General features: G+C 35.9%; 1 annotated feature.

Moving 5' to 3' along the window:
• Window positions 17,277-17,913: an enhancer, noted in NCBI's record as "OCT4-NANOG hESC enhancer chr7:113465760-113466396 (GRCh37/hg19 assembly coordinates)". NCBI's record gives its function as "activates a minimal SCP1, AML or CMV promoter by ChIP-STARR-seq in naive H9 embryonic stem cells {active_cell/tissue: H9 hESC(naive)}" and the evidence as "EXISTENCE:reporter gene assay evidence [ECO:0000049][PMID:30033119]".

Genomic DNA, 20,718 nt, shown 5'->3' on the forward strand with positions numbered 1-20,718 from the left:
GCAAGTTTAAAAGTTAATGCTAAGGAGTGGGATATTAAATGTTACAAGAGATAAGAGAATAGTCAGTAAATCCTGAAATAGGAGAAGCAGACTCCCCGAGGAAAGATAATTCTGAATGGAGCCTTGAAGGACGTGTAAGGCTTGAATGATTAGAACCAGAAGTCCATGCCTCTGCCTCTGTCTAGGTATCGAGAGACATGTAAACAAAGCTAGAGAGGAGGAAGTGAGCAAGAAATGGATGGGGATGGAAGCTCTTCTGGATGCTTCCCAAACCAAGGGGATTCTAGACCCAAACTATCTGCAACTCAACTGTTCTTCAACCCAGCTCCTGAAGTTGCCACACCTGTTACATGATTGCTGGCTAGACCAGAAAGAGAGATTATGTGTGTGTAAACTTGTATGCCTAAACACACACACGTACATTCATATTAGCTTCTCATACATATGTATGTGCTAATGTATATGTACGTTAGCATCTCTCACATAGCCCTTTTGATTATCTTTTGATCACTGCTCATTAACTAATGTATTCATTAAAAGCCTACCTTTTGCCAAGCTTTGAGTAAGAACTGAAGATGAAAAGTAGTTTCCATCATTCCATTTCCCTAGGAGAGCATTATAAAGACAGCAGCATGCAGAAAGGCAAGGAGGTGGGTAACCTGTGGCCCTCCCTGGAAATATAACAGCAAGTATTTCATTTGAATGGCTGTTGAAAGAGAGGTTCAACAAGGAATGAATTTGATGAAGTAAGACCACATGGAAAACAATGTGCATCGTGTTCAGACTTTGGTTTCGGATACCAGAGAAGCTATGAAAGGTTTTCAGCAGAGGAGTAATGCCAGTAGATGCAGATTTTAGAAAGTTGGTCTGGCAGTAATGCGAACAGTGGGGTAGATGAAGTAAAACTAAAGATCAGGATAAATATGCAGAGTGGTACAATAGACTAAGGGATAGAAGATGTCATACAGAGGTAAAACTAGGGTTGGTAATTTATCAGATGTGAGAAGTGAAGGAAACGGAGGAATCTAGGAAAATTAATTACCAGGTGTAAGGTGTGGGTGACTGAGTAGACAGTTGTTCTGCTAACCAAGGTAGAAAACACAAAAGGGGGAGAAAGTCAAATCATTATAAACTTGCTTGGGAGAGTTTAAATATGAGGAATCTGCAGAATTAAAGCTGTTGAATGGTCTGCTTTATAAAAAATGAAGCTTGGAAAGGATTCCTAGATCAAGGTCAGCAAATGAGGTCCAGCAGGCCCCATCTGGCCCGTTGCCTGTTTGTGTATGGCCTGTGAACTTAGAAGAGTTTTATCATATTTAAAAGATTGAAAAAAAAAAAAAAACAAAAGAAGACCAATATGTTGCATTCATTTCCTAGGGATGGTATAGTAAAATACCACCAACTGAGTGTCTTAAACCACAGAAATTTACTTTCTCACAGTTCTGGAGGCTGGAGGTTGACAGTGCTTTCTTCTGAGGCCTCTGCCCTGGGCTTGTTGGTAGCCATTTGTGCCCTTCGTATTCATAAGATTTTCCTTCTATAGTCATCGGTGTCCTACTTCCTCTTCTTATACAGGATGCCAGTTATATTGGATTAGGGTCCACCATAATGATCTCATTTTGATTTAATTATCTCATTAAAGACTGTTTCCAAATACTGTCACATTCTAAGGCACTTAAAGTTAGGACTGCAACATATGAATTTTGAGGGGACATGATTCAACCCATAACATACATCACCACATGAGAAAGTTTCACGAAATTCAGATTTCAGTGTCCATAAAAACACTTTTATTGGAACACAGCCATGCTCATTCTTTTCTGTATTGTCTGTGGTTGCTTTCACACCACAATAGCCAGAGTGAGTAGTTGTGACTGAGACAGTATGGCCTGTTAAGGCTAAACAATCTACACTCTGGCCCTTTACAGAAAAACTTTGCTGTCTTCTATTCTAGATAGAAGATGAGTTGGTAGTTACCAGTTTAGAGCTGGTAGTAGAAGTGATGAGATTATTAAGGAGGAGTGAGTTGTGTGAAAGAACAAAAGGGCAAGACTTGCACTGTTAAGACACAAACAGGCCAGAGAAGGAAGGGGAAAGATGCTACCAAGGTAATGGAGACAGAATGAGCAGGGCTGTCAGATGAAAACAAGATTGAGCTGTGTACACTGTATTTCACAAAAGAGGGCTCAATGACTGAAAACACTGACAAGAAAAACAGGGTTCTGATGTGGAATCTAGCATTTCACAGTGATTATAGATATAATATATTAAGCATTTTTAATATATATAATTAATATATTATATATTAATTATATATAATATAATATATTAATTATATATAATATATTATATTAATTATATATAATTATTATATATAATATATTATATTAATTATATATAATTATTATATATAATAATATATATATTAATATAATAATATAATATATTAATTATATATTATATAATATATAATATATTAATTATATATAATTAATATAATATATTAATTATATATAATATAATATAATATATATTAATTATATATTATATTATATAATATATAATATATTAATTATATATTATATTATATAATTATATATAAAAATATAAACACACATATACCCACACACACCACTGCTGTTTTGCTATTTACATGACTTGCAGAACTTTCCTCAAGAAAAAAAAAATCAGTGTCTATACTATAAGTATTTATATTCTGAAAACCCTTCTTGTGAAATTTTCTCTAGGATAATATTTTAGCCAGTGAGTAAAGTGAGATAAAAAGAACAATTTCAAATACATTCTAAAGCCAGTTATTGGGTACACATTTTAAGGAGTGAGATTTGCAAGTATTTCTGCCTATATATATCAAATTTACCAGAAAATACTAAATTTCTATTTCACTTTGTGCTGAGGAAATCACTGTACTTTGTAATTTATTCCTTTAATGTTACTCTCAAATTCTTAACTATTTCTTTTTAAAGCAAACCACTTTCACATAAAGAGTGGATTCTACTAAACTTCCATATTTTGTATTGTTTCATATTTTGTGCCTTGAGTTTTCTTCAAGAGACACGGCAATGAGAACTTTATCACTAATAAAAAGACATTTGAATAGAAAAGCGAGCCATAATCATGAACCAAGAGTTTCAAAATCATGTTTAGATCAAAACAGATGCACCCTTTGTATGCATTAATTATCAGTGAAGAAGACCTATATATGGTTATAGGCATTGCTTGCTATCAATAAAAAATTAATTCAAACATTTAAACTCAGAGTATAAGAGCATAAGCACATGGCAGAGCACTGAAGAGGGAACTGTCACTAAAATTTAATACAATAAAGACAAATACAGGATGAAAACACAGGATAATTGTTTCTTCAGTGCAATTTTATTACTATCAAAATTCCTTGGCCAGGCTCGGTGGCTCACGCCTGTAATCCCAGCCCTTTGGGAGGCTGAGGCGGGCGGATCACTTGAGGTCAGGAGTTCAAGACCAGCATGGCCAATACGGTGAAACCCCATCTCTACTAAAAATATAGAAATGAGCCTGGCGTAGTGGCACATGCTGTAATCCCAGCTACTTAGGAGGCTGAGGCAGGAGAATTGCTTGATCCCAGGAGGCAGACATTGCAGTGAGCCAAGATTGCGCCACTGCAATCCAGTCTGGGCAATAAAGTGAGACCCTAACTAAAAAAAAAAAAAGTTTATGTGACCTATCTTTACTCTTCTTTTGAAAATTATTTATTCCTCTATTATCATCATCATTATTGGTTATTATCTTTAAATCTGCATTTTTCCAATAGGTTTTCAACCCTGTCTACATTTCTTGGTACATTATTTACATATTTTCTAGCTACAGTTATTTATTTTCTAGCATTTTGCTTCTTAGCTAAGAAAAAAAATTTGCTGAAAAAATAGAAACTATTTTTGAGTACACGTCAATTGGAAGTAAGTGCTTACTTTAATGCACATTCTAATATTTATATTCGTCTGGACTTCTAATTACTTTATCATTTCAGGAGCAATGGAATAGAGTGGTCTGCACATGAGAAAAATATTTCCATTTGAAAGACCCAACACTCTATTTAGAAATGGTGCCTGCATATCAAAGTGCTGAAAATAGATTTCTTAATTAGGTGATTTTAATAAATAAATGCAAATGATAATGTGCTTGGTGCTCATAACTAACATAAGAGCATAATCGTAATTGCCAAGATAAATAGTTCTTCAGCCACATTCTTGTACTTAAAATACTGTCTCCTTCCTAGGAAAACACTTGATTTCAAAGGAAAAAGTCTGGATTTCTTGAATGCTTTTATATCCAGACAAATTTCCTATTGAATGTCATGAACTAACTCTACCTTGAAAAGCAGCTTTAGTATAAAATGTATTCTCAAAGAAGACTATTTCCTAGAAAATAAGATCATCATCACTTTGGTCCCAGACAGTTTTGCTAGATGGATACTACATTGACACAACTTCTAGTTGTGTTTTACTTTCAGGAAAAAATATTCCTGGCTGATAGAGGGATTGAAAAAGAAAAGAATGTGTTGTTAAAATATTCTTAAAGCTGTCCTGACTCATTCATTGTTTTTTTTTTAACCAAATTCCATGCTTTGTAATTCTTAAGAGTATGAGTATGGATGTTTAATTCAGCATACGCTGAAATTCTCAAAAGGCAAGCAAACATTTTATGAGAATGTGGCGACTGTTCATATGACCAAAGTTTATATGCTGGGTACTCAGCTCCCAAAGATAGAGTGGGCAAGGCTGAACTCTAATGGCACTGTGAGGCCTGCTAGTTGCTATCATTTTATATTCCTAAATCATTAGTAGAGGAGGGAATTTATGCCTAACTTTTCTTTAATTAAAGTGCAGATGGGAGAACAGCTGCACAGGCTTCAGCCTGTTTTCCAATTAATCAAGGGTTAAATTCAGGAATACTGGAGAATGAGTGAGTAGTTCTACTTTTTGGCTGTATCTTTATCAATTGCCAAAGTTTTACACAAGTAAAATTACCCATTTCCACATCTATCATTTGTTTCTTTATTTTTCTTTTTTTTTTGTATAAACCATAAATAATCTAGTATTTGACCCAATTTTGTAAGTTACATAGTTCTGGTTTATTTGTTTGTGTGCCTGTTCTCCAAATGTACTTAATCCCTCAACACTCTTCACACACATACTACACTTAGACTGCTGGATAGCCAAGCAGAAAAAATATTTCCAGTCTAAGAAGGTTGTTTCCTAAGTTAGGCAATATTTTAGCTTTCCTAAAGATGTTTTCTTTCATCACTTTTTGATGAAAATTCCATATGTCCCCATGGCTCGCATAATAGAAAATGTAATCATATACATCTGGGCAGGATGAAGAATGCCAAGGCTGACCCAGGAGCCAAATTGCCTTACCTTAATCTTCCTCACTTAGTTCAGGAAAAAATGTTAAAACTTAAAATAATAGGGTCTAGAAGCACTAAAATGGCTCTATTTCACAGAATTTGGAACAGTAATGTTAAAACATTTTAGAATGTTCATAACGCCACCAATTAAGCTGCTACAGTTTGGAAGGTTTTTGCTTCAATATAACAATTCCTCCCCCTGATTCCATTTTCATTTGAGCAGTTAAGAATAATACACATAGCACCTGTGTGAATTATGAGCCTCGCCATTTTTGTTTTTCCTTTCTTCATTTACAGCCTCCACCCTTTTTATCTTCTCCAGTCCACACTTTGGCCTATTCCCTAAGTCCTTCTTTGTTGCTGATTATCTTTTCAATTTAATATAATTACATATTAATTGGAGCTCCTAAAAGCCCATATGCATTGTCACAAAAATACTACTAATAAAGGACCTGAGAGGCTGTGAAAACAAGCTATTTCTCCTCCTAAGTAAACTTTGGTTATTATATTCATGTATTAAAATCCAGTTTCTGTCAATGTTGGTTATTGGATCACAGGAGAATGGCTAGATTCATTTGGAAGGTGTGTTTGGGACGTGACATACAAAATTTGTTTTGGTGTACCCTGACTGATGGTGGTGATAAAGGTTATCTAGAAAGGTAGGCAGTCATCCACAAGTGCCAGATTTGAGGCTGCTATAGAAAGGGAAAACAATAGTGTTTTCAAATATGAGCCCCAAAGGGCAGGGGTTCATTTGCAATTAGGCAGCTTCACTTGTAGACATTCCCATAGGTGAGCAGTAGCAAGGACTTCTGTTTAATGATAGTTTTTTATTCTTCTAAGCAGTTCTGGAATGTCTAGCTTGTACAGAACAATGCTGTATTATTTAAAAAATAGTATATATATATATATATATTTCCAAAATGGTATAAATCGATAGTTTTATATTATTTATATTTTGACCAAAATACCTCTGGAGAAGAACAAAGACAAATTTCAGGAGAAGAAACCAAGTTGTAAAGAGCTCAAGGGGATTCAACATACTGCTTTTTGTTTTGTCTTCTTTTGTTATCTATCAAGTGTCAAGTACTATACTGTTGTGTTATATTGTTTCTGCATTGCTATAAAAAAATACCTGAGACTGGGTAATCTATAAAGAAAAGAGGTTAAACTGGCTCACAGTTCTAGAGGCTGTAAAGGAAGTCTGGTGCCAGTATCTGCTCAGCTTATGGGGAGGCCTCAGGGAGCTTTTACTTATGATGGAAGGTGAAGTGGGAGTAGGGACATCACATGTCCCTTAAACAATCAGATCTCATGAGAACTCACTAGTATCATGAGGACAGAACCAAGCCGTGAGGGATCTGCTCCCATGACTCGAACACTTCTTATCAGGCCCCATCTCCAACACTGGGGATGACATTTCAGTATGAGATTTGGATAGAGACAAATATCCAAACTATATCAATAGTGTATAGTGATAGTGCACTATGCCGACACTGAGCAAAGCTGACTTGTCTTTCCTGGTTATACAGAAAAGCTTCACTAAGGTATCTGCCTCCATATATAAAACCCTACAATTTTAACTTTAAAGATGTTTTGCAGAGCAATCATTTATGCCACTAGAGGTTTGGGAAAATTTTGGCAAGACTAAACAAAATAAAAACTTTGACTATATAAACCTTCTAATTTGTTTGGACTAAAACCTTAATCAACAAATATTTACATTCTTAATTCACATAGAAACTATGTGAATTAACAAATATTTACCATCTTGTCTTTCTTCTTCCCATTTCTCATCCCCTCTCCCTTTCAATCTTCTCCAGCATTGTCCAGAATTCTTTTCCCTCATTTCCCTTGCCCTTGGTCTTGACCTCCCAAACTAAAGGAAAAAGCAGGACTATCTAGGGAGGAAATGGGAGTATGGGCGACCATGGCATTTGGGAGTAGAGAGGCTACCTGAATAGGTAGATTTAGAATAGAGCATGAAAAGCCCTTGGTGCCTTGGGGAGTATGAACTTATTCTGTAGGTGTTTTATTGAAGGACTATAAGCAGGACATTGACAAGATCAGATCTGTATTTCTGAAATATGATTACAACAGCATAGAGATGAACTAAAGAATAATTTAAATAATCCAGAAGAGAAGTAATGATCATCTGAAAGGGCTGTAACATAAAGATCTCATTATCACTTTTTGGCATAAGAGGCTGTATTAGTTTGCTAGGGTGGCAATAACAAATACCACAGAGTGACTTCAACAATAGAAACTTATTGTTTCAGAATCCTGGAAACTAGAGATCCTAAATCAAGGTGTTGGTAAGGTTGGTTTCTACTGAGGGCTGTCAGGGAAAGATGTGATCCAGGCCTCTCTCCTTGACTTGTAGTTCACCAGGTTTATGTTTACATCATATTTTCCCTGTATGTGTGTCTGTCTCAAAATTTCCCATTTTTAAAGGTACAAGTCTTTTTGGATAAGGGCCCAATCTACTGACCTCATTTTAACTTATCTCTGTAAAAACTCTACGTCAGCCTGGCACGGTGGCTCACACCTGTAATCCCAGCACTTTGGGAGGCCAAGTTGGGAGGATCACCTGAGTTCAAGACCAGCCTGGACAACATGGCAAAACCCTGTCTGTACAAAAAAATACAAAAATTTGCTGAGTGTGGTGGTGTGTGCCCATAATCCCAGCTATTCAGAAGGCTGAGGTAGAAGGACTGCTTGAGCCTGGGAAGTGTAGGTTGCAGTGAGCTGAGATTGCCCCACTGCATTCCAGCCTGGGTGACAGTGTGAGACCTTGTCTCAAAAAAGTGAAAAAAAAAAGACCCTATATCTAAATAAGATAATATTTTGAGGTACTGGGGCTTAAGAGTTCAACATATGAATTTAGCAGAGAGGGCACAATTCCACCCAGAAGAGTGGCCAATAGCTAAGGATTAAATAACTTGTTTGAAACACAGTTATCTGGATTATAACCTAGGTCTGTTGACTCACACTCCAGGAATATGTCTACTCTACTAGAGGGGATGCCAGAAAGCACTCTATTGCCATCCAGCATTGTGGCTTTAAAAAGGTAGCTTCTAAAGTGCTGCTACTGCCCATAGGAATCATTTATTAGCAAAGGGGTTGGCTAATGTCTTGAGAAATTTTTAAATTAGAGTACCTTTTTGAGAAACTAAATTGATTTTTGATAGAAATTAGAAAGCAGAGCTATTCCTCTAAGAGCAAACATCATAAGGTAATTCAGAGTACTATGCCCAAGCCCTCACTCACACAGCATTACTCTGTATTATCCAGGGGATACTTTCAAGCAAAACCAAGGAGCATAGTTTATAAAAAAAAAAGATTAGATAGGACAGTTTATTTCTACTGCTTAAAACATCATTTTCTCATGTGAAGTAAGACAAGAGGCACATATCTCTCTGCTTTCATAATAATGCTGTAATACCAATAACATAGTATCCAAAACAAACCAAGACATGGACTAAGTGGAGATAATACAGAGCCTAAACTTAGGAATATATCTCAAATTTACTTTGCCTCATGTCATGTCAGCTCACATGATACTTAACATAGGATTTACATGGGGGGTGATCAGATGCTATATACCATTAAGTAGATAGATACAATCACAAAAACCTCAAATATTTATTATATTAAATCATTGCATTATCCTATGGAAATTTATTTAGCTCTACCATAAAGACTTCACGACTTGAAGAGGTAGAACAGTTTTACTAGTTTGTCAGAATTGTTATGTCAAGGCAAGGCCACTTATTTTTTTTAGTGAAATAAAGTGTATAATAACATTTCTTAATAAGTATGAAGCTAGCTACACGGAAATGTTCCTCAGAGAACTTGGACGTAAATGAGTTTGTGACAGAGAAGTAAATTGTAAAAGCAAAAAGTAATGGATCAGAGAAGAGATGTTCAGTTAATGGAAAGAGACAGGGCAGTTCATAGACCATACATTTGGGTTTAACTCTAATCCAATTATACACACACATGCTTACACACATGCATGCACACACATCCCTTCAAAAGGACTGTGGCCGTCAGGAAGGCAACTGGTCAGCATGGACATAAAAAGAGAGTCATAGAGGTGCCTATTAGCAGCCCATTCAAACACTTCTTAGTGTGGATGAAGATGCAGCCTTCAGCTGTCAGCTGTTTCTAATCCATACAGCAAGGCTATCCCTTCAATGGAGGTGGATGGAGATGATGATAGCTGATGGACTTTACTAATTTCCACTCCCACTGGCAAGCCTCTTCGTGAGAAGGGTGTGTGACGCCACCTTTGAATGAGGCCATTGCATATTTAATTTATTTAACTCTTTCTGTTCTCAAATAGCATTTTCCTGATTGTGATTTAGTTTCCCAAGTAGCTTGATAATGGAGAGAGAATATGCTAATCAAGAAAATAAACTATTCAAGTCCATATGATTGCCCCAGTTCTAATTGCAAATTAATACACTGACATTTTGGTATCTGTCCCTCAAACTTTATACATAGCAGTTACGTATAAGGAATTTTCTTAAGGCTATTTTAAGGGTAACAAAGGCAATTGGCAACTGAATCTGGACTTTATCTCATTCTGTCCAGTGCCGGAAGGCCTTACCTTACGTGACACCATGATCAACTCTTTCTTTTTCCACTTATTTCTACATTGAATAGTAAGAAAATCCTCTTACCACCAGTATATTTCTGTGAAGTTTTTCTTTTCCTTTTCTTTTTATTTGGATGGGGCCTTGCTCTGTCACCCAGGCTGGAGTGCAGTGGTGTGATCATGGCTCACTACAACCTTGACTTCCTAACCTCAAATGATCCTTCTGCCTCAACCTCTCAAATATCTTGGACTGCAGGCACATGCCACCATGCCTGGCTGATTTTTTTAAAATTATTTATCGAGATGGAATCTCCCTTTTTTGCCTAGGCTAGTATTGAACTCCTGGGCTCAAGCTATCTTCCCACCTCAGCCTCCTGAGTAGCTGGGACTACAGGTGCGCACCACCATGCCCAGCTAATTTTTGTATTTTTAGTAGAGATGGGGTTTCACCATGTTGACCAGGATGGTCTCGATCTCTTGACTCGTGATCCGCCCACCTTGGCCTCCCAAAGTGCTGGGATTACAGGTGTGAGCCACTGCACCCAGCCTTTTCCTCTATTCCTAAGCAAGAGAAACATATCTAGTTGGCCTTAAGTCAACCATATGCATCATACAAGTCAAAAATTATTCTCTTTAAAACACACACACACACACACACACGCACACGTTGTTACTTTTACAAACTTAAAGATTTCATCCAATTAGCACTGATTCAGTTTCATTGTAGAATGAATATTATACCCTCTAAGAAATACAATTTGCATTCCATTATTAGTTTGTATTATTAAAATGCTTCAAATGAAAGTGTCTTTAAGTGTTAAGTAGTTTAGCTTCCTGAAGGCTTGCTATTTATCACTAATGCTTCATCAAGAAAGGACTTTTTTTATAACCTAGTTTTAGAATTCCATCAATAAGTAGAAAGCTTCACAATAGGTCCTTGAACCTCCATTCTCAATAATAAGTAACATTTATCTCTTTGTTTTATACACATTATATGGAATTAGAGTCCCCTGTAGAGACATTAGATTAGAAATTATAAAACCAATGTGGCATGCAGTCATTGTCCTGATATTTTCAAACCAACAACAAAGAATGGAAAAAGGGGCAGGGGCAGCTGGGCCCTGACCTACCATGTGGGACCATATTATGCAGCAAGGTATCTCTGTAAGAGTCACTAACTAGACTGCCTGTGTAAAGTTAGATAAGGGGTAAGCTTAGTGTTGAGAAAAATCTATAAATAATTATGCAGTTCACCAAGCAAGGTAACACTGCACCCTGTGGGGTCTGAAGCAGATGACTCAGTATGTGAAGAAAAATATTTGTATTTAACTGGAATTTAATTTAGTTTCACATCCTCGCTATAGGTTAATCTTCCCTAAAAGTAGGTCACTAAATTGGTAGTGTTTTGAAGTGTTAATTTCTTTTGCCATGTCTGCCATCCCTGTGGACAAACTTTTGTAGTTTATAATGTAAATCCACACTGATCCAGACTAATTTGAGGGGTTAATTCCATGGTGATCAATGAAATGGATAAAATGAAGACCACTGTTTAACTACTAACAAGAGGATTTTAAGTAAAGGTCCTTCAAAACCTAATTTAATGAGAAGGGATTCATTTGTAATTAGCTCCATCATTTAAAAATATGTGCTGATAACTATTGCTAAACAAACATTACCCAAAGTTAAATATACTTGCTCACTTCTCAATTTATTTCATCAAAATTTTGTTTTTTCTTTATATATATTGTCCAGGCAATCTCCAGATCAACTCAGATCCAATGTTCATCACTCATAACTCACAAATGGCTTTGTAGTACACAGTGGATGACAGGCATTTTATTGTATCTCATAAGCAGACATCATAATGCAGAATCAACCAGAGCTTCCTGAAGGCTTGAAAGGAACATCAATTTATGCATTCTTCAGAAGAGAAATCTTCACTGATATTTTTATTGTTACCTCATTAATTTCCCCTAGTTTTCCTAGCAGTGTCTAAGTATTCAGCCAGGTAACAATATAAGAAGTTCTGATGGTTAGTGGAGATGTTTCTAATCTCACTGGCAAATGTACTCTGAAACACTTGAGCTCGTAAATTAACTTGATAACTCATGCTTTAGAAGAGTCAGTAAATATCTCAGTTCGTTTTGGCAATCTAAGGAGGTTTTTTAATAAACTGGAAAAGGTTAAGAGATGCAGTTCAGGTTATTGGGACAATAATTGACAGGCACTAACCTTACCCAAGGAAAAGCTTTTCTTCCCTAGAATCTTAAGACAAGTACATGATTCATTCTGCATCATTAGCCTGTGAATCTATGGCACAAAACAAGCTTGGAGGGTAGACAGAAATAGTGTTTATTGAACAACTATTATGTAGCCAGCAACTGATAGGAACTTTACTCTGGTAGTCTTATTTTGTACTCACAAAGATCCTTCAAGATAGTAGTGTCAACTTACCAACTTCATTCAACAAAGGCACCAAAACTCAGAGAAAGAGAAATCTACTTGACTCTAGTGAGAAGAGATTTTGAAGCCACGCTCTTTACACGGTGCAGCCTCCAACTTAATGGGCATTAACCATTCATGGTTGGAATTCTTCAAAATCTGTTTTTAGGAGTTAACGTGCCCTTTGGTTAATGGACCAAAGAGGGAGAAAGATTGTTATACAGGATGTGTTGAGATGATAACTGACCCTTCATGTATCCTTCAAGGTAAGTTCTAGTAGGTTCTGTTTTGAATTACCGTCATTTGATGTATGATTATCATGGGCATCAAGGAAAAATTATACTATTTAAATAAAAATTTGAAGCTCAGGTTCTTTTGTATTATCTTCATCATGAACAGTATGGTTATAGGTGTGCCTATGCTATATATAGTGTGGGTGTGTGCCTGTGCGTGCATCAGTCTAGGGAAAACTCTAAAAAAAATTGTGTCTATATAATTAATAAACACACTTAAGACCAGTTAGGCAGAAGAGTTTCGTAACTGCAGATCTACCACTTAATTAGCTTGGATCCAACAGAAAGCCGAATCAGCAGTCATAGAATTAACACCACAGAGTTAACTTGCTCAATCCTGATCAAAGAATAGTCTAACTTACATATCAAGTAACTGAGTGTTTTAATTATATTTTTTAAAAGGTGTTTTATGTTACCAAATGCCTCTTCCTTTTTTAAAACATTGACATTTAGGTACAATTTAAATGTATGGTCTAACAAAATGCACCTCTGAATTGATAAGATTAGTCCATGGAGAAGTGCTGTGAACATCTACATTGCTCACAATCATATGTAACCCAGTGGTTGACTGCTTGGGTGTACCCAAGTCTCAGGCCTCCAGCACTCTGAAATACTCTTTTGCTGAGATCCTCAAATAAAAGTGGTTTTAGTCAGCTTACCAGAGAGGAAACTTTGGTGTTCCTATAAATATGGGAATTCTCTCTGAGCTTAAATGTTTCACCTTAAATTTCAGCTTTCCTGAGTTGTCCATTTCTGCTCCATGTCTCACTTCTTGCCATTCCTATATTATATTATATTATATTATATTATATTATATTATATTATATTATATGAAATATATATATCCATGCCATTCCTATTTTATATTTTATTATTCCATCAGTGAAATCTCTTACTTAATAAAATTCTGCCAGAAAAAGGTGGTAAAACTTATGTATAATTTACATATGACAATGGTATTGTGGTTTTAGTTTGTCCTTAAGTCCTTGTATTTTAAGGAGAGATACAAATATCTATGGATAAAATGGTATGATGTTGGCGTTCACTTCAAAATAGTAGAAAGCAGACAGGCAGCAGGAGATGAGGCGTCGCTTATAAAATAAAAATGACTATGGGTTAATTGTTTAAGTCTGATGCTAACTTAATTATATGAATCTCACATTTGTATATTATTGAAAATTCCAGGATAGAATGTTTTTGAGTGTCGAAACAATATATGTTAGAAATATAGTTTCCTGACTGTATAGTGTACATCAAAATATTTTTAAATTGCAATTAAAAAAAGGTGATGTCTGTACCAAACTCTGAAAGTCTGACAACAAAGACCAGGTTTATTTTTTTTGTGACTACATAATAAATGATATCTAGCTGAAGATGAGCTACCTTGTTCCTCCATGTCCCCTACCCTTCTCCCTCACAGAAATTCTCCCTAAGCCTCTCTTCTTGTCCTTCTATTCACTTACACTCTTCACTTATTCTTCCTTACTCTGTGTTTTCTCTGGGTTCTACCAACTCCTCTCTCAGCAGCCAACCTACAAAACTATTTTTAACATACAATAATTAAACTTCATTTCATTTTCTCTCTTGCTAATTGAGAGACAGCCTGAGAACCATCTTTCCCCACACAAAGTAACCTTGAAATTCCTTTTAAGGAGTTCATTTTTAGGAAATTTCTCCTCAAATGTAAATCAACCCTTACTGTGCTATATGCTCTTTGCTTTATTTATTAAATAGTTGTATATTCGCAAACATCTTAGTCTTTTCATATATTCCTCAATTTATACTATTCATATAGCAGAGAATCAATCTGTAAGGAATGAATAGTATTGTTTTTATTTAATTTTTTAAATGTATAGAATCATTTCATTCGCTAAAAAAAGTATATAAAAAGATGCACATTTAAATATATAAAAGAATATACAAGGTATATATCATCAAAGAAACTACTGTTTTTAATTATTCCTGAATTGAGGAATAATCACATAGCAAGATAATATATTATAAAGTCCTCATCTCTTAATGTTTAAATCAGAAAAAAATTACATTAAGTTGTTTTTTTGCCGTTTTATTCCCCCAATCTGCCTCCAAATCCTTGAGATCTCACAACTACACAAGTTTCAATCTACTAGAAAACTTTCTTTTTTTCTTTTTGTAGTTAACTTTTACTCTCTGTGGCAATGTTTTGTGCTGTGCAGAAATTTTCATAGCTGCCATATTAAAAGTCATTTCTTATCAATTCAACAAACAATTGTTGAGTTCTTCTATATATATAAAAAATAACATACTGATATACATATCATATATATGATATATATATAACATAACTGATATATATATATAACATAACTTATATATATATATATATATATATATATATATATATATATATATAAAACTTGTTGACAATACTGATGTATCATTTCTTTCCTCTGTATCCCTAAGGATCCCCTGGCAGAGCCCCATCTCTTTCTAAAGGTGCATGGCTATAAAATACAACTTCAGCTTCCCTGCAGCTTCTATAGATGAGATCAAGAAGATGCAGTTGATTCCTTCCATAATTACTTGGTGCATAAAACCTTTGACTTTTTTTGAATCCGCATATCTCAGAGAAGTACACCATTTACTTCTGGAGAGCTATTTACTTATTTTAGTCTTGGACAAGAGTTTTATACTGCTTCTAATAAAAGAGCAAAATGTGTTCATTAAAAGATCCCTAAACCCAAATGCATACTTATGCAATAAATTATTGCTTGGTTTAAATGCAGGAGCGTGACATCCTTGAAAAGGCTAAATGTAGACAGGACTGTCAGTTTTAGAAGCTACAAACAGCATCATAACTTTTGGAAAGGGTCAACAATGAATTTGCCTAAGTGATGTCATGTGTCCAATAAATACTGTCACTTGGTGAGTCTTGGAACACTTTTTTGCTGCAGTGTAAGGAAGTTTCTTTGTACCGTATGCACCTTAGTTGATTAGTTTTTAAATTCTCTACTGTAATTGATTGTTAAATGGGAAAATATGCCTAATCCCTTTTTCCTAGAAGCAAGTTCTTTTAAATAAATAGCACATCATTTAGCTGGTTGGTTTGGAAAAAGACACAGGAACTATTTATTTGAGCCTTCCCAAATACAATAGGAACATTGTTTCCCATGGTTTTGCATTCTTTTCTAGTGCCTCTTACTCTGAAATTTCTAACTTAATGCAAAAGCTCATGTCACATGTTTCAGTCCTGAGGGAAATTACTGTGACCTGTTTTTATTTTTTATTTTTATTTGTTACTTTCTTCAGGGAGTTAATTTTTCTCCACTTTCCCCTTCCCCAAATTGTTGTCTATTTCTTACCAGCCTCACTCCTCTAAATCCTCATTCTGGCAGGAGCATGCCAGCTGTCTACTGAGGACACATCTAATCTTGGCCCTGTCATTTGGCCTTTTTAAAATGGCCCCAGTTAAAAGTGTTGTGTAATAAAAATAAATAGGTTTGCCTCCCTAAGTGATATGACTCATCCTCATTAAAGCCACTGCTGCCTTAAAGGACACTGATTTTACCTTTCTCTTCAGAGGAGAAAAGCTTACACGTGTACTTCCCATTGGAGTTAAGGACAGAAGTTTCTTGTATTTTAGTTAATCTAGAATTACGGATCACATACTATATACGTGGATCATGAAAGTGTGACCAAAGTGCTTGTGCGGGGGGAGAAATATCCACTAACTATTTCATACTATCATATTTGTTTTTAATATCGACAGTCTAAAACCCACAAATCTTTCAAGTTTTTACATCTCAAGAATTCCTTCAGGTGTGCATTCTTGGTATTTACAATCCTGAACAGAATATATATTTTAGTTGTTTTTACTTCCCTGCAGTCAGGTTCTCCTCCTGCCCTACCTGCAGCCCCCTCACAGCTGCTACGTCTTCTTTGACAAAAAGTCCTAGGTGCTGGATACACTTCTGCATAGTTTTCTTTCTTTTTTTCTCACATGTCCAGATTTCTGTAAATAGCATAGGTTATACTTGAGTTTTTAAAAATTATAAATTATTAAGCATTAGTTTACAAATATTAAATGGCTACCTTTATTAATTTATTCAGCACCTTATCAGAAAAATTTATTTTGTAAAGGAGTGACATCTGTACGAGTAGGTAAAGGTCCGTAAGACATTTCCTCTTGTTCGTCTGTTCTAAGTATTCCTATGACGTGTTATACAGTTTATCCTAGTAAACTTTCAAATACATTATGCATATATTGTACACAGATAAGCAAAAAGCAATGCTGAGTATTGATTAAAGTTGATACTACTAAGACAAATATGGCACTTTTATTTGAAAAAGCAGGTTTTTGTTTGTTTGTTTGTTTCACTTACCATAAGCAAAATCAACTTCTTATTATGTTTTTTTTTTGTTTGTTTTTGTTTTCCCCTGTTACTTCAGTAAATGCTCCCACTTTAAAACCATGAGTTCCTTAGCCAATGTTACATGGGCAAATAATTTGTCTAAACAGCATGCAGTAATCCTAGATTGTCATCTGCCAGTTCTTCCATGGCAGGGCTAAAAAGGGGAGCAAAAGCTGACTGGCCATTTGCACCAGTGGTGAAGTTCACACTCTTAGAAGGCAAAATCATAGGGTTTTTATTATGAACACAAGGGAGTAAAGAAAGTAAATAAAGAAAATTCTAAATTATAGCTTTATACATTAAAGGCCACAGTTCTTTACTAGAAAGGTTCCTTGTGGATCCATGATTCTCTCTGTCCATTTATTTGGCTCTTAGAAGCACTGTTCTTTTAAAATTGAAAACCAAAACAAAATTCAAGGTGAGCTGTTACTACATTTTTGTATAATAATGAGTACCTCACCAGGAAGAGAATTGGTCAAGCTTTTCAGTAGAGTTCCTCAAACTGGGTTCGCAGGATCTCTGGATAATTTGGAAGGACACAGGGCACACATTTTCAGGGTAAAAATGTCCACAATAGTGTTTTAAATTTGTATTTTTTATTTTGATAATAATCTTTAAAAAATATTACCAGTTCTAAAAGTTCTGTTTTGCAGTATACAATTTAAATAAAAATGTATTCCATAGATTACAGGAGGTCTGTAAGAAGCTTATTCCCTCCTCCTCTTTAAAAAAGAGGTATATACATGAGTCAAGTTTGATACATGCTTTAGTCAAAGAAATAAACAAAATGGTCCTACTACCTCACAGAGCAGCAGAACAAAGACACATGGTAGGAACTCTCAAAGAAAAATTGCACCAAATACAGTCAAACGGGCAAGAAAGACTGTATGCAAAAATACTGCAGTAGAGGTCAGAGCTGCAAGAAAAGATACAAAGGTGAAACAAAGGCTGGAGACTTCTCTAATGTCCTCCAGTACTTTTTCACTAGCTCACCCCAGTGTTTAAAAAGTCTCCAGCCTTTGTTTCAGGTGAAACAAAGAAGTGAGCTAGTGAAAAAGTACTGGAGGACATTAGAGAAGAGGCTGCTCAGTGCAATCAGGCCATTCCTATTTGCTAATTGGCGATTGTCTAAGTTAGGCTCCTATCCTCCCAGAAAGACTGGGAGAAAAGGGTGCTATTTTTCTCGATAATTAATGTTTCAAAGAGATGGTTCCCAGGTCCTTGAGAAAGAGATTCCTGGGTTGTAAAACTGGCAAGAGCTGGGAGACTTACATCTCAAAGACGCAGAGAAAGTGTTTACAATTGCAAGGTCTTAAAAGTAAACACTCTAAGAAAAGGGAGCTCGGGGGCTGTATTAGTCCATTTTCACCCTTCTGTAAAGAACTACTTGAGACCGGGTAATTTATAAAGAAAAGAGGTTTAATTGACTCACAGTTCCACATGGCTGAGGAGGCCTCAGAAAACTTACAATCATGGCGGAAGGCTGAGGGGAAGCAAGGTATGTCTTACCTGCTGGCAGGAGAAAGAGAGAGATGGGGAAACTGCCACACATATTTAAACCATTAGCTGTCCTGAGAACTCACTCATTATCACAAGAACAGCATGGGGGATACTACCCGCAAGATCCAATCACCTCCCAACACGTCCCTCCTTCCACATGTGGGGATGACAATGGGTTTATAGCGAGGAAAAATCCTATCTAAAATTTTACTAATGCTGAGAAGAAGTTGTTTTGGTCATCAACTTGCAGAGGAGTAGAAGAGAGAAAATGGCCACATCTCAGGGGAAAAGAACAAGCTATGAATTAATGAAAGAGGGTAAATACCAAGAGAGTCTAGCTCTATTGCCCAGGCTGGAGTGCAGGGGCACAATCTTGGCTCACTGCAACCTCCGCCTCCTGGGTTCAAGAGATTCTTCTGCCTCAGCCCCTCAAGTAGCTGGGATTGCAGGCGCCCACCACAACACCCAGCTAATTTTTGTATTTTTAGGAGAGAAAGGGTTTCACCATGTTGGCCAGGCTGGTCTCAAACTCCTGACCTCGTGATCCACTCGCCTTGGCCTCCCAAAGTGCTGAGATTACAGGCATGAGCCACCGGCCTTGGCCTGATATATCTTTGCTAAGGCATTTAAAAGCATGTTTGAATGAGTGAAGGGATGTATTAATTTATTAATTAAAGATTCCCTAGAAGCAGATGATACTGTTTATGAGGATTTATTCAGAATGGTTCTTTGCCTTTCTCTTTCCTTTCAATGAACTATGAGTTAGATGAGACAATATTTGTGTTTTAGATGTTTTAAAATACCTAGCATTATATTTGTTATTCTCTTTAGTTCTTTAGTTCATTGAATTTCTGTAAATTTTGTTTTGAGATTGTCTCAAGTATGAATAATGACTGAGTTGGGAAATATATTTTTCTCACCAATATAACCCCATCAATATAACCCATGGATACACAATGCAACCCTTTGTTTTAAATAATTAGCTAGAAAATGTTTATGGAATAGCTACAAAATGTTTACAAACTGTTTCTCATGTTACAAAATGTTTCTCAGATCCCATGAAAAGTTCTGAGACTAATAAATGATTTAAATTCTGAACACTTAGCCCAGTACCTTGCACAGTAAATACTATATAATGCATTTTCTTATGGAAAATACTAATTGAGCCTACTCTAGTCCCACTGCATCCTAATATTGAGATGAATAAGGCATAGTTTCTATCTATTAGCAGTTGACGGGATAGTACAGTGTAAAGGCAAATAAATAGACATTGTCATTAATGCATCACGAAAGGGCACAGAGGAACACATATCTCCCTGATTGTAACACCTGCATAGACTGTAGTTTATTGTGGTATTATTCATTCATTCATTAATCAAAAATATATTTATCGAAATTCAGCTATATGTCATTCTCCTTGGTGCTAGGGATTTGGCAATGAACAAGACAGGCAAGATTTCCTAGAGTTTACATTATTGTGAGTGAAACAGAAAATCAACAACTAAATATGTAACATCCTGTTAGGAAATGGTAAGTGCAATGAAGAAATTAAAGCCTGGAAAAGAGAAAGAGAGCAGCAGCAAAGTCCTATTTTAGACGTGGTGGTTAGGGAAGGATTTTTAATGAGGCAAGTTTTTGGCAGGTATCAGAATGAAGTAAGGAAGGAAGTCATTCCAGTGTATAAAAAAACAGCACTCCAAGCTGGGCAGCAGCAAGTGCAAAGGTCCTGGGGCAAGAGCATAAATTTGGCTCCTGTCAAAATAGCAAGAAAGCCAGTGTGACTACAGCAGCGAGGGGCACAGGAAGACTGGGAGGAAATGAACAAGGAAAGTTAGCCAATGGACAGATTATATAAAAATCTTATTAAAACCATGGTAATGTCCCTCGGTTTTATTGTGGCATGATAGGATGCCAATAAGGAGTTTTGAGCAAGGATGCAATATGATATGTTTTTACTAAATTTAGATCTAGAATGAAGCTGGTGGGTTAGATAGGGAAAGGTATCTGGAGATAGAGGAACCTGAACTTTATCTGGAAAGACACATAATGATTAGGTGAATAGGTTCATCTGGGCTTCAGGGAGTA

The sequence above is a fragment of the Homo sapiens genome, chromosome 7 (assembly GCF_000001405.40).
Source record: "Homo sapiens chromosome 7, GRCh38.p14 Primary Assembly".
Lineage (NCBI taxonomy): Eukaryota > Metazoa > Chordata > Mammalia > Primates > Hominidae > Homo > Homo sapiens.